The sequence below is a fragment of the Homo sapiens genome, chromosome 9 (assembly GCF_000001405.40).
Source record: "Homo sapiens chromosome 9, GRCh38.p14 Primary Assembly".
NCBI classification, from domain to species: Eukaryota; Metazoa; Chordata; class Mammalia; order Primates; family Hominidae; genus Homo; species Homo sapiens.
The window spans coordinates 87,043,712-87,070,209 of record NC_000009.12 but is presented as its reverse complement, the minus strand read 5'-3'; the positions used below and the strand labels follow the sequence as shown (position 1 = coordinate 87,070,209).

Sequence of the window (26,498 nt, the reverse complement as noted above, 5' to 3'; positions counted from 1 at the left end):
TTTCTTTTATCTTTCTCTTTATTTCTTTCCTTCTTTCTTTCAAAACTTAAAGTTGTTTTCTGGCTGTTTGAAAGACAGTTTCAGAAAATAAAGCTGAGATTGAAAAAAATCCTTATGTTGTTTGTTGCTAAATTCATCCCTAACTGTGACTGGGGCTCCCATTTAAAATGAAATGACTCAGGACAATTTCTACTGGAAAATGAATTACTCCAGGCTTATGTTTCCTTAAATGTAAGCGTGTGAGGCAATCTCTTTCTACAGCTTCTAAATGAACAGCTGCCTTGAACTTTCTCATAATCAACCACACGAAGCTCTCATCCTTTGCTTAGTTCCTCCTTCAAGATGAATCAGGGAAGGGAAAGATGAAACGGGCTGGTGGGGAAGCATCCCAGCAATCTTCAGACAAGTGGAATTGAAGGAACACTTTCAGATCCTCTCCCAAAGCCTGGCTGCAGCCAGAAGTGTGAGCTTATTACCACAACAATATTACCACAACAGTGAACTCCCCATGCCAGCTCAGTTCTCATGGTGGCTTTACAGTGTACATGCCCATTTGCTCATTTCTGCTGTGTGGAAAACAAAACTATCCAAATGTGTGACTTCAGTCACACATTGCTTTTCTTTTGAGATAAAACCTGCTAATGGGTATCTAGGTATAGGTGTCCATTTGATTAATGCTAAGCTTCTGAATAGCAGAAAAGACTAAGAAATCCAAGGAGAGAACAAATCAAGATAAAAGGATATTTTGTGATTCACTCACTTAACGAATATTGAGAACCTTCTGTCTTCCAGACACTGTGCTAGGCTTTGGGAATGGAGACATGAACAAGACAGATGTGAAAACTGCCTTTTGGGGCACTTAGGTTAATGTGGGTAGACAGACATAAACATATCTTTTAGGAAATATATTTTAGGGGCTTATATGTCAAAACAAGCAAGCAAACCACAGCCAGTGCATTTTAGCAGCTTGGTCTTCTTATCTGTGTTGTCATGCTGTGATTACTGGGAATTACCTCAAACCTGAGACTGTTTCTTCATCAGTAAAATGGGAATGATTCTACTTACAGGTTTGTGGTGAGGCTCAGATGAAATGACTGCTCTCTTAAAAGCATTAAGTTTGATTTTCAAATTTTGATAAGATCAATTTTTATTGAGCTGCAATTTTGTATCATGCAATACACTAAAGCACTTCAATAGACAACATCTCACTCAGACTTCATGAGACAACTCCATACAGTTGGCAGAGGCACCAAATGGATGAGCTTAATACTAAGAACTGGTTTCATAGGAACTTATTGCCTTTGCTGGAATACAAGATTCAAATAAACTAATGTGGAATAGGCCCCAATGAAATCAAACGGTTAACTTTTTCATTCTCAGATCCACTAAAAACTGGTTGTTACTTCTTTAATTCTTACTCTCCTTAAGTAGCCAAAATTAGGTTGGAATTAAACCAGTTCTGATTTGGGGATTTCTCTTTTAATACAAATGATGATCCCCTTTGCCTCATACTTGAATGCCTAGGAGTCAACTAAGATTTAAAACACCAATTTGAAGCTGATATAGAGATGCCTTCATTAATGGCTCATCTTTTTAAAGCCTGTGAATCCCTTTGATGGTTGGTGAGTCACTGTTAATTTCAGTTAACTCAGGGGAGAGATATAGGGGAGTTTAGAATGTGGCCACAGTTAGAATTTGGCCCACGTAAAAACTTTACATTAGCTTACTCAACATACTTTTTACCTAGGGCGTCTGAGTCTTGGCCATTAGAATCCTAGACACAGACAAGTTTTCACTGCTCAGCATTGGGTTAGGCAGTTAAATCACCTTTGAGCAAGTAGTCAGGGGTCGTTCTAGCTCATGCAACGTCAGCATTTTACTAGGCTACTCTGCTGCCCAGAGAGAAATGTCTGAGAAAGTAGGGAAAAAAATTACAGCCTTTGGATGGTATTTCAAGTCCTTCATGGCCTCCCCAACTATCCTCTCTATGGTCCACTATTTTCATGTTCTTAGAGAAAACTGCATTACACACACACACACACACACACACACACACACAATGCGTTAATGTACTGCAAATTTAACAAACACAGTTACATATTCATATTTTAGAGAATGCTGTGTCCTGTACTGGGGATGCTTCTCTCCATATTTGTCACCTCACAGAACCTTATTCTTCAAGTTTCAGCTCAAAATTCACATCTCACATCTTAGCAAGACCTTCTTTGATCTTCCCAAGTCAGAATGCATTGTTTTGGATTCTCTACTCCCTTACTCAGACTTCCTGCTTACTAGGGACAGACGGGACAGATGGGGTGGTGGGCACAGATATCCTTACATGGTGGTTAAGACAGACAAATACTGCCAACTTCACAGTATCCAAAAGCAGATCGACTATGGTAAGGGCTAGTCATGTTCATTATGCAGTGGCAGAACAGCTGTGATTAGAGGTACCCCATTAAATTCATCCATATAACAGTTAATTCATCTCCTGGTAACCTATGGTGTGTCATTCTCTCTGACTGGTCTTTTAAAAATGTAGGCCCACAATCAACAAGCAACATTAGGGTGAGGCCCAACAAACTCTCCATAAATGACAACATCTGTTTACTTCCAAGTCTTGCTATCCTTCTAGCAATTCCAAGGCATGTTCTAACCTCATTCTTATTCTCCAGGCCTTAGCAAAATATCTACCACTAATTTCTTAAGTTTCTGGCAGTGAGTACTTGTACCAGCAATTCCAAAGTCTGCTTAATTTTAAGTCCCACAGCCACAACACATCATCTGATAGAATAGGGCAATAACTTCCAACTAGTCTGGGCATTTCCTGCACGTACTTTCTCTTGATCTCAAAGTACCTTAATATTTTAGAACCTGGGTGTCAGAAGATGTTGGCTGAAAACTAATTTTGAGCTTACCAGTTCTCAAAATGGGTTTCAAACACTGTTGTCATACAAAACTCACACAGCACTACAAAAGTTCACCTCTCCTGCATTCTACCATTCATCGCAACAGGTATTATTTGTCTTTACAACATATCTTCAGCTCTTCAGGATTATTCTGGCAGTCATCAGTGGTTGGATTTAATTGACTCTTTTGTTTTTATACCATTTTTCCAAAAATCTGCCTGCCATGGGGAAAATGCACTCTTAACTTAGGTCTAGGGTAACAGTTAATCCATGGTCTAGAAAATAGCCCCTGATATAGCCTCACTTGAAACCATGATCCATGAGGTACAGCCTTAGAGCAATGGCACAGTCAGAAAATGCATCTGATTAAACCCACAATAATCTTTCAATTACCCACATTCTTTATTTTTATTACTAAGGATGTACAAAACTCACTACAGTTAACGTTCCATTTTCTTTCCCGTAAGATTCCCAGAAGTGTCCAACATCTTTGAGGCTTCCCCTCCAGCCCTGCCTTAAGCACCGCTTGCCTTTCTCCCCCATGCCTTTCACCATTTCCTCCAACCTCCGTATCTCGAAAGCCCCCAAATCTATGTGAAAATGGCAGAGGGTTAGACAAGGATATAAATGGGATAGGCGAAGCTAGAAATGTTTTAGCAAATAACAGGATAGGAAAGAATGGAACCCTACATATATTAAAATGTCTAGTGATATATGATAAAAGGCTTGGTGATAAATTAGTTGCAAAGTAATACAAACACCCATATGAATTTGGAAGCTTTCTGATTCCATGTCATGTATGGTCTTTGGTGGGTAATTCTTATTCTGGTCTGCAAAGTCCCAGTGGATACTAACTTATCCTGAAACTTTTCTGTAGCTGGAACTGTGTGTAAAACCCAGGGAGGTCCTTGATTCTGATTTCAGTGCATGATGGTTTCAGGCCTCTTGAAGAGCTGTCTTGATTCCAGTCTTTTCGCATTGGTAAGTGACACGTGCAAACTTCAGGATGAATTTGCTGTGGGTTTGTGCCATGGATTTTCCAGACTTCTTCCCCTTTCTGTTCCCTCACATATTCTTTTACATAAAACTGATTTCTGGCTCATCACAGATGTGGCTTAGTGTTGTTTTCCCGAGGACAAGAACAGTCTGATTTCCACCACTTGGGCTGCTGCAGAAGCCACATGACTCATTCATTTTGCGAGCTATTCAGATATTTTCTTTCTAAAATAAAGAGAATAGCACCTCTTTAATTTCTTTTTTCTTTTTCTTTTTTCTGTCTTTCTTCTTCTTCTTTTTTTTTTTTCTTTTTTTTTGCTTGTTTGATAGTTTACAATAGTATCTGCCTAAGGGACACTGTGAGTTGAATTGCTTCGGGCGCTCTTTTTAGCTACCTTGTTAGTTTTGACAACTCCACTGTCTAACAGAGAACTAGCAGGCAATCCTGGAAAATAGGCTATTTTTTAAAAAAAATCTAAAACACATCAGTGTTGTGTGTACCGCTAAGAAATTAAAAACCTGTGACATGGTACTCAGATGCACTCTGAGTTTAGAGATATTAAAATATGAAAAAGCTTGCATTTAGAATCAGTAGAGTATCGTGTATACACACACACAATTTTTGTTACTTTCACATTTTTGAGTGAGAAGAATATATGGATGGCATAAAATCCAAGAAGTTCCAAAATGGCACCCTTGTGCCAAGTCTTCCTGTTCACCATCTAAGAGACAGCCACTCTTACTGGGTTCTTCTATTGGGCATACATTTTATTGTCATCGTTATTGTTTGCTATTTAGTTTGTTTAAAGTCAGGTTTATGCAGATATACATACAGTAAGATTCACTCTTGTTAGTGTATGGTTCTATGAGTTTGGACAAGTTCACAGGTTCCCTCATGCTCCCTTGTACCCATCCCTTCCTTAGACCCCAGGCCTTGATAATTACTAATCTGTTTTCTGTCCTGATGGTTTTTCCTAGTCCAGATGTCATATCAATAGGACCACACAGTAGGTAAACTTTTGAGTGTGACTTTTTCACCTAGAATAATGCATTTGAAATTCATGCGTGTTGCGTGTATCCGAAGTTCATTCCTTTTTATGAGTATGTTTTCAAGTGCAACTCTTTTGAGCAATTTTTTTAACCTAAATTGTCTGTGGCTGATCTGTGAAAATTGTGTACTATTTCTGTTCTACAAACCTGCTCTAAAATCACATAGGCTGTATATTTTCCAGTGCAGTGACTACTGTGCAGCATCCATGTTAAACTCTTTGGTTTAATTATAATTTAAAGTGCCTTCAAGAGTGGGAAAAAGTGTTACCTTTTCAATACCTGTGAAGCAAAAAGTGGCTTTTGAGGATATGTTTTCAGCCTACCTTCTAAGAATATTCATGATTTAATCTTGGGCCTAGGGTGGCCTCTGGTATGTAATTTAGAAGGATCTGAACAAGGCTTACAAAAATGTATTTTCTCCAATTATGTTTCTTTATTTCTTTGTGTCTCTATATTTTTCTGTCTCTCCACTTTTTTCTCTTTGTCTCTCTCTTTCTCCTGGTAAAAAGTGTTTTCTCACCTAGCAAAAAAACAAATAGGAAATTGGTGCTTTTAAATTTGGATAACCTCGAAATTTATAAACAGTTTTTCTGGATCAATTGCTAGCCATAAACAAAAAAATTAATATGGAATGCATTAACTGGTAAGAGCGTTCTACAGAAAAGTAAATCAAGAAAGAGGACAGGGAGTGCCTGGGGAAAGGTGATCAGTGAGTGCCTCGCCCATACACCGTGTGATACTCAAGTACAGCAGATTCCAGGCAGAGGGGAGTAGCAAGGTTGACACCCTGAGATAGGAGCTTGCCCACACATTAACTCCTTTGCTAATGCTTTAAAAGGTAATCTGTTGGAGGTTCCTGATGATAGTAACTGTAAATCCTGAATATCCTTTGGATTAAAAACAAAAACATAACAAAATAGAAATATCAAAGGCCACAGAAAGCCCTAAATTTTGTCTTCACTGAAACTTCTATATTCTTGAGGACAATGACCTTGTCAGGGTTCCTTTAATAGAAGCTCTAACCACTAAATCACAATGCTCCTGCTCCAGCCTCTCAGACTACTCAAAGAGATTGTTGACTCTAATCCCACTTCATTTTTAGTTGAACCAAGGTTATAATGGAAACACACACACACAAACACACACACACACACACGCTGTACTTTGTGAATGACCCACAAGCCCTCAAATCAAAAAGTCAACTGGAAAGAATGTCTGTGGGTGTGCTATTGCAAAACAGAATAAAATGTTTTCATGATTTATGGCTATATTTTAGAAAGATAATCTCAGAAGCACTTTCCATATTTTCCTCTCATTTCTTGCTGTTGTTTCTCTAAAATCTCTTTCCACTCTTCCTGACTTTCCTCCACAATCATTGACATTAACTGAGTTACATGGAGGGGAGATCTTCACCTGGAGCCTGTAGTTTCAGGCTTGAATTATTTTGCAGGAGAGTTTGATAAGTAATTCCTCAGTGGATCTCCCGTTAGGTCCTATGGCACTTAAGGTATTTTTGAAATAAAGCAACATATTCATTCCCCCCAAAACTCCACATTTTGTAAACTTTTGCACCAAATATAACGAAGTTTATGAAAAAAAAAAAAGATGAGGAAGGGGAAGAGGCAAAGTGTTCAGTGTCCATGCATTTTTTCATCTAGAGCACCAAGGAAAGCAATGATTGGAACCTGGGGAAGATATCATGAACATTCCTGGTGACAGACACTAAAAGTGAATAAAACTGCCAGGGTGAAGACAGCCGCAATACTTGGATTGGCTCAGAGCTGCAAAAGCTGAGTCCAGTCTGGACGGAAGTGGTTACTCTTAAGTTGCCAACTTGCCCTGAGACCAGAGCAGCACAGAGTTGGGAGCCCAAATCTTGACATGGGGTGGAAGGAGGAAAGCCTGACTGTAAAAACTTGTTTCTCATTTTTTTAAAAACATAGCTTAAAGGGCTCCTTCTATGATAGCAGCAGCCAAGTTAAGAGATTTTTTCCTTTCCTACGAAGATTATAATCCTACTTTTACCTTTCTGTCTCCTCTTTTCCAGGAAAATTTGTGCATGAGCTAACATGATTTTCCTATGACACTGATGGCATTTCCCTATTTACCATTTGTTTGTGAACTTCTTCACATTACACAAACAACACACTGCAGGAGAACAGACTGTACTTGACCAGTTAGAAATGGGATTCTCTTAAACTCACAACTTTAATCATTGCCTAGATATAATAACAATGGTAACAATAATAGGGTTGGTTAACTATTTAGTGCTTTCCATGGGCCAGGCACTTTGTTAAAAGTTTTATAGCTATCACCATATTTAATTGTTGCAGTGATCCCATGTCTAAGGAATTTCTATCCCTATTTTCTGCATGATGGAATGGGAGCTGAAGAAAGCTGGATAACTGTACCCATGTTACATAGCCAGCAATGCAGAACTCAAAATTCATTTCCAAAACTCATGCTTGCCTCCAAACCATCTCTCTCTTTTTTAAAAATTTTATTTATTTATTTATTTATTTATTTATTTTGTGAGACGGAGTCTCACTCTGTCTCCCAGGCTGGAGTGCAAATGGTGCAATCTCGGCTCACTGCAAGCTTCGCCTCCCGAGTTCATGCCATTCTCCTGCCTCCGCCTCCCGAGTAGCTGGGACTACAGGCGCCCGCCACCACGCCTGGTTAATTTTTTGTATTTTTAGTAGAGACGGGGTTTCACCGTGTTAGCCAGGATGGTCTCGATCTCCTGACCTCGTGATCTGCCCACTTCGGCCTCCCAAAGTGCTGGGATTACAGGCATGAGCCATTGCACCCAGCCCAAACCATCTCTCTCGAGTCTCTAAACTTTGAGCTGAGTCTTGAAATTCTTATTAATTATAACATTGACTTGAGACCAAGAGAAAATTATGAAGTAGGCAAGTTTTGTTGCCAGTGGCCCTTCCACGGCCATTTGTCACTACTATCGCCCCTCACTCCCATTATCCACTTCTGTTCTCAAATATCTGTTGTTTCTGACCAATTCCTCTTCACATCCTGGTTACCTGGATTCCGTGCCCTCCCATCCACCCCTAAACTAGCTCCTTCTGAAGTGCCCATGCCACAGAATTCTTCTCTGAGCAACATTTATGATTCCTGTGTTCCGTGTGCCTCAGGTTCCCAATCTCTGCATTCCAAAGGAACAGCTATACACTCTTAGCAGTGCATGTGTAGCATCCAACATCAGCAGGTGCATTTCACACATCGTTCTGTGCTGCATTTTACTAAATGTACTGCAACCAGAATGCCCAGAGAGGTCCACAGAAAACCCCGTCTCTACAAAAAATAAGGAAAAACTAGCCAGGCTTGCTGGCATGCACCCATAGTCCCAGCTACTTAGGATTCTGAGGTGGGAGGATCACTTGAGCCTGGGAGGTAGAGGCTGCAGGGAAGCGTGATCACACCACTACACTCCAGCCTGGGACAGGGTGAGACCCTGTCTCACTCTGCAGGAGGCTTGGAAACCAAACTGACAGGGTATTTCTATAATTCCAGATAGATAGGCTCAAAAACCGAGAAGGTTTTAAAACAGAAGATTATTATTTGCATTTACTCTTTTTAAAAAAGAAAATAAAGAAATAGCTGGGCATGTGTAAAGAATATTATATGTGAAAACGAGACAAGGTATTGATAAAAAGATTTTAAAGGAGAAGGTGAAAGGGAAGCATCATGAAAATCCCAAGTCTAAGATTAGGTTGAGTAGAAGACCCCTTTATGCAGTCTTCAAACATGGTTGAAGCTCAAGGTTACAGGGTCCCTGTGTTGTGGTTACTGAAAGTGCCCCGGGGACGGTGTCAGGAGCCATAATATGCTAAATATCTATGTTTTCTTTCCATGTTCATTCATGTTTAAAACAACCCAATGCCTGATTTTTAAGCTGCAGCTAGAAAAAAAAGAATGTTTTAGAGATGACAATCTTTTGTTGTTTTCTCAAATATTTAATAACTGACAAATCTGACCCAGGTCTCAAACATTACTGTATGTAGAATGCTTGCTGATATGGTGCTGTGTTCCGCACTAATGATAACATTGTGGTAATCTCTTGCTCTCTCAACTCTTGCTCTCCAAATTTTCACCATTTGAACTCAGTAGCTGAGCTTTCTAACTCTGTAGTAAAAATGAAAAGAAATTTTTGAATAAATTCCTTGCAGTCAAAGATTTGCTGCCTGCTCTCTGAAACTTAAGAGTCAAATGGATTCAGAAACAAGTCAATTCTGCTTCCTGTGCTATTCAATCTCAGTAGCTGAACATTTGATATCTGAAGCAGGAACTGAGTAGAGTGGTGGGAGATGGGTATTTTAATCAACTCCCAAATGCATATTTCATGGGGAAGGAGGAAAGTTGGAGCAAAACAGTATAGATTTGAGAAGGCTTAGTAGATCCCTTTGTTTAATTGTGTTAGGCAATGAATTGTAAATTAATTAATGAGTTATAAACTAGATCCATAATTCTATAAGAAAGCTGAGAAATTATTTGGGAAATTGACATGAGGAAGGAACTATATAGAGATACTATAATATTATATCATGTCAAAATCTCTTCTAGGCTGAGTGTGGGGGCTCATGCCTGTAATCCCAACACTTTTTGAGGCCAAGGCAGGGGGATCGTTTGAGGTCAGAAGTTCGAGTCTAGTCTGGGCAACATGGCAAAACTCCGTCTCTACAAAAAAATAAAGAAAAATTAGCCAGGTGTGGTGGCGTGTGCTTGTGATCCCAGCTACTTAGGATTCTGAGGTGGGGGGATCACTTGAACCTGGGAGGTAGAGGCTACAGTGAGGCATGATCACACCACTGCACTCCAGCCTGGGTGACAGAGTGAGACCCTGTCTCAAAACAAAACAAAATCTATTCTAGTTACTCTTTAATAAAATGATTTTAGAATTCCCTACTTTCCTTCCTTCTCCTACCTCTCTTGCATCCTGCTTTTTTGTTTCTTGCTTGATAATCTAAGTGATAATTCTCTACGTTGTCTCTGCATAGAACTCTATTATCTGAATGGTTAACTCAACCAGAAGCATAAATGAAAGTGAGGCCGCTAATGAAACCAGAATTTGCTTCACAAACAGGGAAACATCTGGAAGACTTTGGGAATTACTTTGCTTCTTCAGCTGGGGTTTTGTTTGCCCTTTGCTTCTGATCTGCTCCTAGATTTTCACATATGAGACAGAAAAAAACTTTGACTAAAGCAATGTTTCCCAACCTTGCTGGATCACGAGAATCACCTGGGGACAACTTGTTAAATACACAGACCTTGGCATGACTGAATCAGAATTTCTAGGAACTTGGCTTGGAAATCTGTGTTTTAACAAGAGTTCCAGATGAGCCTCATGATCAAATGGGTTCAGGACTCACTGGACTAAGACAGGCTTTTGTGGCATGATCTAGAAGCATGAACCAACAGCACAGAGCTCCACTGTGTGTAAGTATGAACAGCACAAGCCATTCACGTGAGGACCTGAGACCTTCATGGGCATCTGAAACTCGGCATTATCATTCACGAGCTTTAGTGTCCATCAGAGAAATCAACTGCCAATTCCCTGCCTTGCTCCAGAAGATTCCAAATCAGTAGGCCCAAGGGGAATGCTAAGAACAGTTTAAGAAGCACTCATAAATGTCATCTGTCATCTCTGCTTAAAAGCTAGCCCTTTGCAAATTGGTGAAGTAACACAATTTTCCCAATCATCTTTCTCTTCTTCCCCACCCCTTCTTCTCTCTCCCCTGTATTAGTTCCATTTTCATACAGCTATGAAGAAATACCTGAGAATGGGTAATTTATAAAGAAAAGAGGTTTCATGGAATCCCAGTTCCACATGGCTAGGCAGGCCTCACAATCATGGCAGAAGGCAAAGGAAGAGCATGTCTTCCATGGCAGCAGGCAAGGCAGCATGTGCAGGGGAACTGACTTTTATAAAACCATCTGATCTCTTGAGACTTATTCACTACCATTAGAACAGCATGGGAAAAACTCATCGCCATGATTCAATTACCTTCCACTGGGTCCCTCCCATGACATGTGGAGATTATGGGAGCTACAATTCAAGATGAGATTTGGGAGGGGACACAGCCAAACCAGATCACCCCCTTTCCAAGGCTGGAAGTGGCCTTATATCACTTCACAAGGGCTTGAGTGCTCAGGCCCCATCAGGAATCCTCCTTTCCCCACAATGTTTCATCCCTTCCTCCCATTTTAGACTATAAACTCCCAGGCTATCCCCTCTCTCCCCCATTTATGCTGAGATCTCCCTAAATTTCTCCAATCCATCAAGCTATCTCCCTTGAGCTTCAGAGCTTTTAACTTCAAAACTATCTAGAGCTTTTCCACCTGAGTATATCAGGCGTGCTTGAAAATTCACAAGTTTGAGCCAGACTCCCGTGTTGTGGCTGTCTACGACATGCCTGAGGCAGACATGATGTTTTCTTGATTTTTTTACTCCATGTCACCTTTTCCCCAGCATCATGCCCATCCACAAGTTCTACCAATGCTATCAGCCACACCCAGTTGTCTAAGTACGCTATCGTTGTTTGTTCAGATTTGGGTTTTTGATTGGGAGACTGAGGCGGGTGGATCATGAGGTCAGGAGATTGAGACCATCCTGGCTAACACGGTGAAACCCCGTCTCTACGAAAAATACAAAAAATTAGCCGGGTGTGGTGGTGGGCACCTGTAGTCCCAGCTACTCGGGAGACTGAGGCAGGAGAATGGCATGAACCTGGGAGGTGGAGCTTGCAGTGAGCGGGGATCACAGCACTGCACTCCAGCCTGGGCGACAGAGCAAGACTCTGTTTCAAAAACAAACAAACAAACAAAAAAACAGAAACAAAACAAACAGATTTGGGTTTTTGGGTTTTTTCCTACCCCAAAGCAAAACAACAAACAAGTACGCAAACCCTGCTGCAACCTCTGGCTTTCCTATCTCAGTAAATGGCACCATCATCCACTCCAGAATCTCATGGCAAATAACTTGGAGTCCTTCTTGCCTCCTCAAATCTTCCCCACCCACATCCAATCCATAAGCAAATTCCCTAAAGCCTACCTGTAAAATCTATCCCCAATCTGAACATTTCTCCCTCTCTGCATTGCTCCCACACCAGTCCTTGCCTCCAATACTGGAATGACTGCCCTGTTTTTTCTGCATTCACTCTTGCCACCACCTGGTGACTGTTCACTGTAAAATAACCAAATGATCATTCTGAAATGTAAATCACTATATTAGTCTCCGGTTTAAACTCTTCCAATGGCTTTCCATACACTTAGGATAAAATAGAGTCTCTTTTTTTTTTAAGGTGTAATATCACATATCACTGTTATTAAATAATAAATCCATGTGGTTGTAGAATTTTCTGTTCCACTCATCTACATTATTTCTTTATATGATACTCTTGCAAAAAATGTAATTAGTTGAAACAAGTCTTAATGAACTTTAGAATCACTTTATTAAGTTATAAGAAGGTGTCTGGCTTTTTAAGTTGAGTGAAAAGTCTGTCAATTCTGAGAAATAACATGTTTTAATATTCAGTTTTATCAATTCAGGAAAAGATTATACATTTTCATTGTTTCAAATATTTTTAATATCCCCTAGCCAAATGTTGTAATTTTTATTTATTAAAATATTTTACTACTTTAAAATGTGTTATTTTCTAAGAGCTTTTGAAATAAGGAATTGCTGTTGAATTTTTTGAAATTCTTTGAGAAAGCATTTCTTGTTGAACCTTATTTTGTGATGCATAATATTAATAGACATTCTAACATTTTAAATTTTTAAATATTTAATCAACAAAATTATCAATTAAATATTTAAAAATTAAAAATGTTAGAATAACTACTATATATATATATAGAGAGAGAGACAATGTCTATATATATTCAAGATGAAAAATTTGGTAATTTAAAATACATGTACATTGTGTTCTGATGATCACAGTCAAATTAAATACCACATCCATTACCATTCATAGTTATCATTTGTGTGTGTGGTGAGGACACTTAAAATTTGCTTTCTTTTCAAATCTCAAATAAACAACACAGAATTATTAACTACCTATAGTCACCATGCTACACATTAGATCCCCAGAACTTATTTATTTTATAACCCAAAGTTAGTACACTGTAACCAACATCTCCTCATTTCTCCCCCTCCACCCTAGCCCCTGGTAACCACTATTCTACTCTCTGCTTCCATGAGTTTGACTTTTTTAGATTCCACATAGAAGTAAGATCAAAGAAACTGAAAACAACACAAATAAATGGAAAGACATTTCATGCTCATGGGTTGGAATAATTAATATTGTTAAAATGTCCTTACTCCCCAAAGTGGTCTACAGATTGAATGCAATTTCTATCAAAATTCTGTCATTTTTACAGACATAGGAAAAACAATTCTAAATTTTGTATGAAACCACAAAAGATCTCAAATAGCCAAAGCAATCTTGAACAAACAGAACAAAGCTGTAGGCATCACATTCCCTGGTTTCAAACTATATTACAAAGCTATAGAAATCAACAGTATTGTGTTAGCATAAAAAGAGACACATAAACCAATAAAAGAGAATAGAGAGCTCAGAAATAAACTCATGCATATATTGGCAAATAACCTTTGACAAGGGTGCTGATACGTTTGGGTTTTGCGCCCCACCCAAATCTCATCTTGAATTGTAATCCCCATAATCCCCAGGTGTTGTGGGAGGATCTAGGTGGAGGTAATTGAACCATGGGGGCAGTGTTCTCTATGTTGTTCTCACAATAATGAGTGAGCTCTCATGAGATCTGATGGTTTTATAAGCATCTGGCATTTCCCCTGCTGGCACTCACTCTCTCCTGCCACCTTGTGAAGAAGGTGCCTGCTTCTGCTTCGCTTTCTGCCATGATGGTAAGTTCGTTGAGGCCTCTTCAGCCATGCAAAATTGTGTCAATTAAACCTCTTTTCTTTATAAATTACCCAGTCTCTGGTATTTCTTTATAGCAGTGTGAGAATAGACTAACACAGGTGCCAAGAATACACAACAGGAAAAGGACAATCTCTTCAATAAATGTGGTTGGGAAAACTGGGTATCTATTATCAAAAGAATGAATTGGACCTTGTCTTACACCATACACAATGTAAAATGGATTAAAAGCTTAAATATGAAATCTGAAACCATAAAATTTTAGAAAAACACATAGAGAAAATGCTTCTTGACATTGATGTTGGCACTGATTTCTTTCCATGTGACACCAAAAGCGCAAGCAACAAAAGCAAAAATAAACAAGCAGGCCTACATTAAAATAAAAAGCTTCTGTACAGCTAAGGAAATTATTAACAAAATGAAAAGGTAACTTATAGTATGGGAGAAATATTGCAAACCATAATATCTAATACGGGTTTAATATACAAAATATATAAGGAACTTGCCCCACTCAATAAAAAATAAAAAACTGCCCAACTCAAAAAAAAAAAAAAAAAAAGGAAAAAGGCAAAAACAAATAATCTGATTAGCAAATGGGCAAAGGACCTGAATGGGTATTTTTCCAAAGAAGTCATATAAATGTACAACAGGTACATGAAGAAATGATCAACATCACTAATCATCAGGAAAATGCAAATCAAAACCACAATGAGCTATTACCTCACACCTGGCTATTACCAAGAAAATGAGAGATAACAAGTGTTGGCAAGAGTGTGGAGAAAAGGCAACCCTTGTACACTGTTGGCAGGGATATAAATTGGTGCAGTCATTATGGAAAACAATATGGAGGTTACTCAGAAAATTAAAAATAGAACTGAAATATAATCCAGCAATTCCACTATTATGTATATTTCCAAAGGAAATGAAATCAGTATCTTGAGATATCTGCACTCTCATATTCATTGCAACATTATTCACAATAACAGAGATGTGGAAACAATCTAAGTGTCAATCCAAGAATGAATAGATAAAGAAAATACAATAGAATGTTATTTAGCCACACGAAAAAAAAAGAAAATCCTGTCATTTGCTACAATGTGAGTAAGCCTGGAAGACATTCTACTGATTGAAATAAACCAGATCAAATAGCACATGATCTCACTATACATGGAACCAATCTCTTTTGGAATTCTCCTAAACCCTGTACCATCTGGCTGTGTTGCATCTCTACCTGTATTTCCTGCCCCTCCCACCTCCTTTTCTCTCTGGTCTTCTTGTTGAGAATGTTTGCATTTACTGTACCTCGGCTTGCACCCTTCTCCCTAAGGTCACTGTGGCACACGCACCTTCTCTGCATTCAGGACTCTGCCCACCTGTGTCCCCCTAGGCAAATTGTGACCACCTAGTGAAGATAATCATAAATCTCACTTGGCCCAGGGCCAGTCCCCTCTTATGCTTCTTGTTCTGACATCCTGTTTAATGTATTATTTGGCCCAGAATTTTTTTTGACAGAATATTGTCAGTAGTAGAGGCAATAACTTATCTGAGATATATTTAGTTGTCCTGCATTTTGTTCTTTCAGCTTTTGCCATAGCATCACCTGTCTAGTAACCTGTGAGGATCATGTGCAGTTAAAAGCACTTTAACATCTAATTAAATCTGAAAGACCTCTAGGGATTATCCTCTGCTATGGCCTGAATGTTGACATCTCTCAAAATTCATATGTTAAAATCCTAACCCTCAAGGTGACAGTATTAGGAGGTGGGGTGTTTGGGAAGTGATTAGGTCATGAGGAGAGAGCTCTCAGGAATGTGATCCATGTCCATATAAAAGGGGCCCAGAGTAATTCATTAATTTCTTCCATCATGTAAGGACATAGCAGGGAGGCTCCATCTATGAGCCAGAAAGTGGGCTCACCCGACACTGAATCTGCCAGCACCTTGATCTTGGACTTACCAGCCTCCAGAACTGTAAGAAATAAATTTCTGTTGTTTATGAGCCTAGTTTATGGTATTTTGCTGGAGTGTCCTAAGACGCAGTCTTTTTCTGATCTTTTCCAGAAGCAACCTAACACCTATATTTCAAGTATAGATGCAGGGGGCTCACTGATTAAAACAAAGTGTGTATAGGCAACTAACTCTTCCTGGTTATTGGGTGGTGGTGGGTGAAGTCTCTGCCTAGTACTTGGTGCCTTAGTCAATTGTGCCATGGCCTGCATCACAGCCTGCAAGACACAAAAAGTTACCAGGCCATTAATCTGCAGAATAAGCAAAATGGGGGAAGTTATACACCGTGTGTATATTGGAGAAATACAAGTTTAGCAAGTCTATCATAGAAGGTGTAGAGAAAGACAGGGGTTCTTGCTAGAGGATTTTTGTCATTTATTGTGTGATATCAATCTCCAGCTATGTGTGTACTGCACTGTTTAGCAAGACATTTTTATTTTTCAATACATCCCTTCAGCAGCAATAAGCTTAGAAAACTGAAAAGGAGTGTTTCATGACAAATTAGGTACTTCATTTCCATGTCTCAAAAAAGTTGATGATAAATGTGCAACTTACACAAAATGTCAGTATCCACCATCACAGGGAACATAGTGATACCAAAGACCATGTGAACCCCAGAAGACACCATGCAGCTGAAGAAGCATCTGTGTCTACTTCAACATCTCAGTGATTATTTCAAGAAGACTGTGAAATAATGAATTATATGTACATCCAACTTTTCCCTGTATATTTCTGCTTCATATGCTTCTTAACTTACTGAAAACAGTACTTTTACTACAACACTTTGTGGTAGGCAGGAAAATGACCCTCCCCCACAAGATGTCACACCCTAATCTTTGAAACCTATGAATATGTTACCTTATCTGGTGAATGAGATTGGACTGATGTTACTAAATTTGTAGCTGTTGAGATTAAGAGATTACCTTGAATCATCCAGGAGAGCCCCATCTTATCCCAAGGAGACATGAAGATGCTACGATGCTACACCGCTGGCTTTGAAGATGAAGGAAGGGACCATGAGCCAAGGGGAAAGATGGCCTCTAGAAACTGGAAAAGGCAAAGAAACAGATTGTCTCCTAGTGCGTCCAGAAGAAATATAGCAATGATGTCACCTCAAGGTTAGGCCAGTGAGACTTCTGACCTATAGAACTGTAAGGTTAAAAAAAAAAAGAAGTGTGTTATTTTAAGCCCACTATGTTTACGGTAATTTTGGGGTTTTTTTCTTTATTTTAAAAAAATTTTCCCTTTTCTTCTTATTTTTTAGAGATAGGGTCTTGCTCTGTCACCCAGGCTGGAGTGCAGTGGCATGATCTCGGCTCATTGTACTCTCCACCTTCAGGGTTCAAGCAATCCTCCCACCTCAGCCTCCGGAGTAGCTGTGACTACACGAGCACAGCACCATGCCCGGCTAATTTTTTGAATTTTTTGTGTTTTTTGTAGAGACGGGGTTTCGCCATGTTGCGCCAGCTGGTCTTGTACTCCTGGCCTCAAGTGATCCGCCAGCCTTGACCTCCCAAAGTGCTGGGATTACAGGCATGCACCACCACACCCAGCCAGTTTGTGGTGATTTGTTACAGCAGCGATGGGATATTAATTTGCACTCCAACCAAAATCTGTATTCATGGTATCATCACAAAAACAAATATTTTTATCTTCAATATGGAGCGTTTTAAGTAAATTTCAATAGTATTCGTGATAATAACATATGGTTTATCTTAGGATGAAGTTTTTAAAAGCTTTACTTTGTTTCCATAAGTTGAATGAAAAAAAAAATCAAACAATTATTGGAATTGACTTGGTTGATTTTCTATCCAAAGTATCTGATGATATCATTTAACCATTTGCTCAGTTCTTCTGTTGGTGGAGCCGCCTCAGGAGTCAGGTTAAAACATTTATACATTTCCATAACAAGAAAGACCAGATGTGAAGTAGAACTAAAAATATCCTTCATTTCAAGGTAAGAGTTATTTTTATCTCATCAACAGATGAGTTATTTGAATTTCAAATTTATCAACCATAAAAGGCAAAGTTTAAGATGGTAGGCATTTGTATGAATAAAAATAAGTTTATTTAAAAAAACTTTAGAAAAATATTAGTCACACAGAAATAGAGATACATTAGTCTAAGATTAAAGTAATAAATATATTTCTCAGAATATACTAGTTTGCGGGTTTTTAGCACTTATCATACACTTGAAATTATCTAATTTATGTATTGGTGTTCATTATCCATCTTCCCCTGCCCTTGTCAGAATGCAGGCTCCATGAAAGTGTGGCTTTATCTTTATCACGTAGCCAGTACTTAAATATGTACAATAAATGAATAAACCTTCTAGCGATCTTCCTACCTCTGATTTTCACTCCTTGAATCTACTCTCACATGGTAAAGTGTGGAGAGCATCGTTTCTAAAGCTGGGAGCTTGTTGCCAGGGTCAGGCCAGGGTGAGGCAAGCGAGGCACTGGGAGACAACATTTAAGGGGGTGCTCATAACTGGGGGCTGCCCCTGCATATACATGGCCAGAGAGTGAATGGTGCCTTACGTTTTGCTAGGCTCCTGGTTTGTCCCACCCTAGTACTGACCTGGCTTATAACTTACTATTTTATTTAAAACCTTTCTGTAAAATCCCTATTTCCCTGGACATAAAACGCAAGCTCTTCAGTGGAGCATGCAAGGTTGTATATAATCTTGTTTACCTCTGCAGTCTCATCACCCACCACTTGACTTGTTTATATTTAGAGTGCTTTCCTGTAGATAGCATGTGGTTGTGTCTTGCTTTTACAACCAATCTGACAGTCTGCCTTTTTAAAAATACAGTTTTATGCAATGGGGAAAGGACTCCCTAGTCAATAAATGGTGATGGGATAACTGGCTATCCATATGTAGAAGAATGAAATTGTACCTCTACCTATCACCATACACAAAAATTTATTCAAGATGGATTAAAGACTTAAACGCAGCATTTGCTTTTCAGTTCCTGCAATAGTTTGCTAAGGATAATGGGCTCCAACTCCATCCATGCTCTGCAAAAGACATGATCTTGCTAATTTTTGTGGCTGCATGGTATCCCTTGATGTATATGTACCACATTTTCTTTATCCAATCTGTCATTGATGGGCACTTAGGTTGATTCCATATCTTTGCTATCGTGAATAGCGCTGCAATGAACATTCATGTGTATGTGTCTTTATGGTAGAATGCCTTATATTTCTTTTGGTATATACGAAGTAATGGGATTGCTGGGTCTCATTTACACAAAGGACAAAACAACAGACACTGGGGTCTACTTGAGGATGGAGGGTGGGAAGAGGGAGAGGAGCAGAAAAGATAACTATTGGGTACTGGGCTTAACACCTGTTTGATGAAATAATTTATACAACAAATCCCTGTGACATGAGTTTACCTATGTATCAAGCCTTCATATGTACCCCTGAACCTAAAACAGAAGTTTTTTTTAAAAAAAGACTTAAATGTAAGACCTAAAACTATAAAAGTCGTAGAAGAAAACCTAGAAAATACCCTTCTGGACATCAGCTTTGGCAAAGACTTTTTGACTAAGTCCTCCAAAGCAATTGTGACAGAAACAAACACTGACAAACAGAACCTAATTAAAACAGAGAGCTTCTGCACAGTAAAAGAAACTGTCAACAGAGTAAGCAGAAAACCTATAGAATAGGAGAAAATATTCACAATTTATGCACCCAGCATAGGTCTAATATCCAGAATCTATAAGAAACTTAAACAATTCAACAAGAAAAGACAAATAAATTCATTAAAAAGTGGGCAAAGGACATGAGCAGACACTTCTTAAAAGAAGACAAAAAAGCAGCCAACAAACATATGAAAAAATGCTCAACATCACTGATCATCAGAGAAACGTGAATCAAAACCACAATGAGATACCAACTCAGACTAGTCAAAATGGCTTTTATAAAAAAGTTAAATAATAACAGATGTTGGTGAGGCTGCAGAGAAAAGGAAATGCATACACACTGTTGGTGGGAATGTAAATTAATTCAGCCACTGTGGAAAGCAGTTTGGAGATTTCTCAAAGAACCAAAAATAGAACTATCATTTGACCCAGCTATCCCATTACCAGGTATATATCCAAAAGAAAATAAATTGCTCTACCAAAAAGACACATACATTGTATGTACATTGCAGCACTAGTCACAATAGCAAAGATGTGGAGTCAACCCAGGTGCCTATCAATAGTGGATTGGATAAAGAAACTGTGGTACATATACACCATGGAATACTATGCAGACACAAAAAAGAACAAAATCATGCCTTTTGCAGCAACGTGGATCATCTGGAAGTCATTATCCTAAGCAAATTAATGCAGAAACAGAAAACAAAATATCACATGTTCTCACTTATAAGTGGGAGCTAAATATTAGGTACACATGGTCATATAGATGGGAACAATAGACACTGGGGACTACCAGAAAGCAGAGGGAGGGAGGGGGCAAGGGTTGAAAAACTACCTATTGGGTTTTATGCTCACGACCTGGGTGATAGGATCAACCATACCCCAAACCTCAGCATCACGCAATATATCTCTGTAACAAACCAACACATATACCCCCTGAATCTAAAATAAAAGATGAAGTTTTTAAAAATGAAAAATAAAAATATATCACAAAACAATACACCTTTATAAAGATATAATTTACAGACCATAACATTGACCCTTTTAAAGTTTACAAGTCAATGGTTTTTATTATAGCTCAGAGTTGTGCAACCAACACCATGGTCCAATTTTAGAACATTCTTATCATTTCCCCCCAGAACTGTCCCCATTAGCAGTCACTCTCCATTCTCCCTCCCACACCAGCTCTATGCAGTCAAGAATCAATTTTGTATACTTGTTCATTCTGGAGGTTTTGTATAAATGGCATCATACAATATGTAGCCATTTGTGACTGGCTTCTTTCACTTAGTGTAATGTTTTCAAGATTCATCTATGTTGTAGTATGTATTGGTATTTCACTCCTTTTTATTGCTTAATAGTACTCCATTGTAAGAATATATTATACATTATTTATCCTTTCATCAGTTGATGGATATTTGGCTTGTCCCCAATTTGTGATATCATGAATAATCCTACCAAGAACATTTGTGTGTAAGCGTTTGGGTGGACACATATTTTCAGTTTCTTGGGTATATACTTAAGAGCAGAACGGGTGGGTTATATGATAACTCTTTGTTTAATATTTTGGGAAATTTCCAAACTGTTTTTCAGAGTGGCTGTGTCATTTTCCATTCTCACCAGCAGTATATGAGGGTTCCAATTTCTCCATATGCTTGTCAGCACTATCTTTTTTTATTATAGCCATCCTAGTGGGTGTGAAGTAATATCTCATTATGGTTTTTATTTCATTTCCCCAATGACTGATATTGAACACATTTTCATGTGCTTCTTGGTCATTTGTATATTATCTTTGGAAAAATTTCTATTCAAGCCCTTTCTCCCTTTTAAAAATTGAGTCATCTGTCTTTTTAAATTGTTAAGTTCTAAAAGCTCTTTATATATTCTAGATACAGGATCTTTATCAAAAATATAATTTGCAAATATTTTCTCCCATTCTGTATGTTGTTTTTTCACATTCTTGATGGTGTTAGTTGAAGCATAGGAGTTTTTGATTTTGATAAATTCCAATTCAGCTATTTTTCTTTTGTCACCTCTGCTATTTCCTGCCTTTTAAATGGTTTTAGATCATTTTCATTTAGTGTCATCATTGATAGGATTAGATTTAGATCTATCATTATATTTGTTTTTATGTCCTATATATTCTTTTTTTCCTCTCAAAGTCTTTTTTGCCTTCTTTTGGATTAATGGAATATTTATCTTTTTAGTGGTTGCTCTAAGTTTTACAATTTATATCTTTAATATATTACTTCTTACCTTCAAAAGTATTATAGAATCTCAAGTATAGTCTGAGAGTCTCCTAATTGAGTACTTCCAGGTTTAACCTCCTAGCATCTGTTCAATTTTTTACTACACATTTTATTCTTAATGCCTATGTATGTTCTAAATACCATAATACATGGTTATTATTTTTGCCTTAGATAATAAATTATTGTATAAAGGGATTAAAAGTAAGAAAATATTTCTTTATTATTTGCCCTCATTTTCAATCATTTTCAGCACTCTTCCTTTCTTTGTTTAGATTCATATTTGTATGAGGTATCATATTCCTTCTGTCTGAAAAACATTGCTTAACATTTCTTATAATTCAGGTTGCCAGAACTGATTTATCTTAGCTTTTGTTTGCTGAAAAAGTCTTTATTTCACCTTCATAGTCGAAAGATGTTATTGCTGGGTATAACATTCTGGGTTGAAAGTTTTTGTTTATTTTAGACATCTACGCATTGTCTTTCAGCTTGCATAATTTACAATATGAAGTCTATGGTGATTCTTTTTTTAATTTTTTTTTCTTTTATTATTATACTTTAAGTTTTAGGGTACATGTGCACATTGTGCGGGTTAGTTACATATGTATACATGTGCAATGCTGGTGCACTGCACCCATTAACTTGTCATCTAGCATTAGGTATATCTCCCAATGCTATCCTTCCCCCCTCCCCCACAACAGTCCCCAGAGTGTGATGTTCCCCTTCCTGTGTCCATGTGATCTCATTGTTCAATTCTCACCTATGAGTGAGAACATGCGGTGTTTGGTTTTTTGTTCTTGCGATAGTTTACTGAGAATGATGATTTCCAATTTCATCCATGTCCCTACAAAGGACATGAACTCATCATTTTTTATGGCTGCATAGTATTCCATGGTGTATATGTGCCACATTTTCTTAATCCAGTCTATCATTGTTGGACATTTGGGTTGGTTCCAAGTCTTTGCTATTGTGAATAATGCCGCAATAAACATACATGTGCATGTGTCTTTACAGCAGCATGATTTATAGTCCTTTGGGTATATACCCAGTAATGGGATGGCTGGGTCAAATGGTATTTCTAGTTCTAGATCCCTGAGGAATCACCACACTGACTTCCACAATGGTTGAACTAGTTTACAGTCCCACCAACAGTGTAAAAGTGTTCCTATTTCTCCACCTCCTCTCCAGCACCTGTTGTTTCCTGACTTTTTAATGATTGCCATTCTAACTGGTGTGAGATGGTATCTCATTGTGGTTTTGATTTGCATTTCTCTGATGGCCAGTGATGATGAGCATTTTTTCATGTGTTTTTTGGCTGCATAAATGTCTTCTTTTGAGAAGTGTCTGTTCATGTCCTTCGCCCACTCTTTGATGGGGTTGTTTGTTTTTTTCTTGTAAATTTGTTTGAGTTCATTGTAGTTTCTGGATATTAGCCCTTTGTCAGATGAGTAGGTTGTGAAAGTTTTCTCCCATTTTGTAGGTTGCCTGTTCACTCTGATGGTAGTTTCTTTTGCTGTGCAGAAGCTCTTTAGTTTAATTAGATCCCATTTGTCAATTTTGTCTTCTGTTGCCATTGCTTTTGGTGTTTTAGACACGAAGTCCTTGCCCATGCCTATGTCCTGAATGGTAATGCCTAGGTTTTCTTCTAGGGTTTTTATGGTTTTAGGTCTAACATTTAAGTCTTTAATCCATCTTGAATTGATTTTTATATAAGGTGTAAGGAAGGGATCCAGTTTCAGCTTTCTACATATGGGTAGCCAATTTTCCCAGCACCATTTATTAAATAGGGCATCCTTTCCCTATTGCTTGTTTTTGTCAGGTTTGTGAAAGATCAGATAGTTGTAGATATGCGGCGTTATTTCTGAGGGCTCTGTTCTGTTCCATTGATCTATATCTCTGTTTTGGTACCAGTACCATGCTGTTTTGGTTACTGTAGCCTTGTAGTATAGTTTGAAGTCAGGTAGTGTGATGCCTCCAGCTTTGTTCTTTTGGCTTAGGATTGACTTGGCGATGCGGGCTCTTTTTTGGTTCCATATGAACTTTAAAGTAGTTTTTTCCAATTGTGTGAAGAAAGTCATTGGTAGCTTGATGGGGATGGCATTGAATATGTAAATTACCTTGGGCAGTATGGCCATTTTCACGATATTGATTCTTCCTACCCATGAGCATGGAATGTTCTTCCATTTGTTTGTATCCTCTTTTATTTTGTTGAGCAGTGGTTTGTAGTTCTCCTTGAAGAGGTCCTTTACATCCCTTGTAAGTTGGATTCCTAGGTATTTTATTCTCTTTGAAGCAATTGTGAATGGGAGTTCACTCATGATTTGGCTCTCTGTTTGTCTGTTATTGGTGTATAAGAATACTTGTGATTTTTGTACATTGATTTTGTATCCTGAGACTTTGCTGAAGTTGCTTATCAGCTTAAGGAGATTTTGGGCTGAGACAATGGGGTTTTCTAGATATACAATCATGTCGCCTGCAAACAGGGACAATTTGACTTCCTCTTTTCCTAATTGAATACCCTTTATTTCCTTCTCCTGCCTAATTGCCCGGCCAGAACTTCCAACACTATGTTGAATAGGAGTGGTGAGAGAGGGCATCCCTGTCTTGTGCCAGTTTTCAAAGGGAATGCTTCCAGTTTTTGCCCATTCAGTATGATATTGGCTGTGGGTTTGTCACAGATAGCTCTTATTATTTTGAAATATGTCCCATCAATACCTAATTTATTGAGAGTTTTTAGCATGAAGGGTTGTTGAATTTTGTCAAAGGCCTTTTCTGCATCTATTGAGATAATCATGTGATTTTTGTCTTTGGCTCTGTTTATATGCTGGATTACATTTATTGATTTGTGTATATTGAACCAGCCTTGAATCCCAGGGATGAAGCCCACTTGATCATGGTGGATAAGCTTTTTGATGTGCTGCTGGATTCGGTTTGCCAGTATTTTACTGAGGATTTTTGCATCAATGTTCATCAAGGATATTGGTCTAAAATTCTCTTTTTTGGTTGTGTGTCTGCCTGGCTTTGGTATCAGAATGATGCTGGCCTCATAAAATGAGTTAGGGAGTATTCCCTCTTTTTCTATTGATTGGAATAGTTTCAGAAGGAATGGTACCAGTTCCTCCTTGTACTTCTGGTAGAATTCAGCTGTGAATCCATCTGGTCCTGGACTCTTTTTGGTTGGTAAGCTATTGATTATTGCCACAATTTCAGATCCTGTTATTGGTCTATTCAGAGATTCAACTTCTTTCTGGTTTAGTCTTGGGAGAGTGTATGTGTCGAGGAATTTATCCATTTCTTCTAGATTTTCTAGTTTATTTGCGTAGAGGTGCTTGTAGTATTCTCTGATGGTAGTTTGTATTTCTGTGGGATCGGTGGTGATATCCCCTTTATCATTTTTTATTGCGTCTATTTGATTCTTCTCTCTTTTTTTCTTTATTAGTCTTGCTAGCGGTGTATCTATTTTGTTGATCCTTTCAAAAAACCAGCTCCTGGATTCATTAATTTTTTGAAGGGTTTTTTGTATCTCTATTTCCTTCAGTTCTGCTCTGATTTTAGTTATTTCTTGCCTTCTGCTAGCTTTTGAATGTGTTTGCTCTTGCTTTTCTAGTTCTTTTAATTGTGACGTTAGGGTGTCAATTTTGGATCTTTCCTGCTTTCTCTTGTGGGCATTTAGTGCTATAAATTTCCCTCTACACACTGCTTTGAATGTGTCCCAGAGATTCTGGTATGTTGTGTCTTTGTTCTCATTGGTTTCAAAGAACATATTTATTTCTGCCTTCATTTCGTTATGTACCCAGTAGTCATTCAGGAGCAGGTTGTTCAGTTTCCATGTAGTTGAGCAGTTTTGAGTGAGATTCTTAATCCTGAGTTCTAGTTTGATTGCACTGTGGTCTGAGAGATAGTTTGTTATAATTTCTGTTCTTTTACATTTGCTGAGGAGAGCTTTACTTCCAAGTATGTGGTCAATTTTGGAATAGGTGCGGTGTGGTGCTGAAAAAAATGTATATTCTGTTGATTTGGGGTGGAGAGTTCTGTAGATGTCTATTAGGACAGCTTGGTGCAGGGCTGAGTGCAATTCCTGGGTATCCTTGTTGACTTTCTGTCTCGTTGATCTGTCTAATGTTGACAGTGGGGTGTTAAAGTCTCCCATTATTAATGTGTGGGAGTCTAAGTCTCTTTGTAGGTCACTCAGGACTTGCTTTATGAATCTGGGTGCTCCTGTGTTGGGTGCATATATATTTAGTATAGTTAGCTCTTCTTGTTGAATTGATCCCTTTACCATTATGTAATGGCCTTCTTTGTCTCTTTTGATCTTTGTTGGTTTAAAGTCTGTTTTATCAGAGACTAGGATTGCAACCCCTGCCTTTTTTTGTTTTCCATTTGCTTGGTAGATTTTCCTCCACCCTTTTATTTTGAGCCTATGTGTGTCTCTGCACGTGAGATGGGTTTCCTGAATACAGCACACTGATGGGTTTTGACTCTTTATCCAATTTGCCAGTCTGTGTCTTTTAATTGGAGCATTTAGTCCATTTACATTTAAAGTTAATATTGTTATGTGTGAATTTGATTCTGTCATTATGATGTTAGCTGGTTATTTTGCTCGTTAGTTGATGCAGTTTCTTCCTAGTCTCGATGGTCTTTACATTTTGGCATGATTTTGCAGCAGCTGGTACCGGTTGTTCCTTTCCATGTTTAGCGCTTCCTTCAGGAGCTCTTTTAGGGCAGG

General features: G+C 38.3%; 1 long non-coding RNA gene across 1 annotated transcript; it reads right to left on the bottom strand.

Moving 5' to 3' along the window:
* Positions 1 to 3,292: 3,292 nt before the first annotated feature.
* On the bottom strand, positions 3,293 to 16,923 carry LOC124902196 (uncharacterized). Its single transcript, XR_007061638.1, has 2 exons — positions 16,800 to 16,923; positions 3,293 to 4,130 (listed from the first exon to the last, which is right to left on the bottom strand). It is a non-coding gene; the product is annotated as an uncharacterized LOC124902196 (long non-coding RNA).
* Positions 16,924 to 26,498: the final 9,575 nt, after the last annotated feature.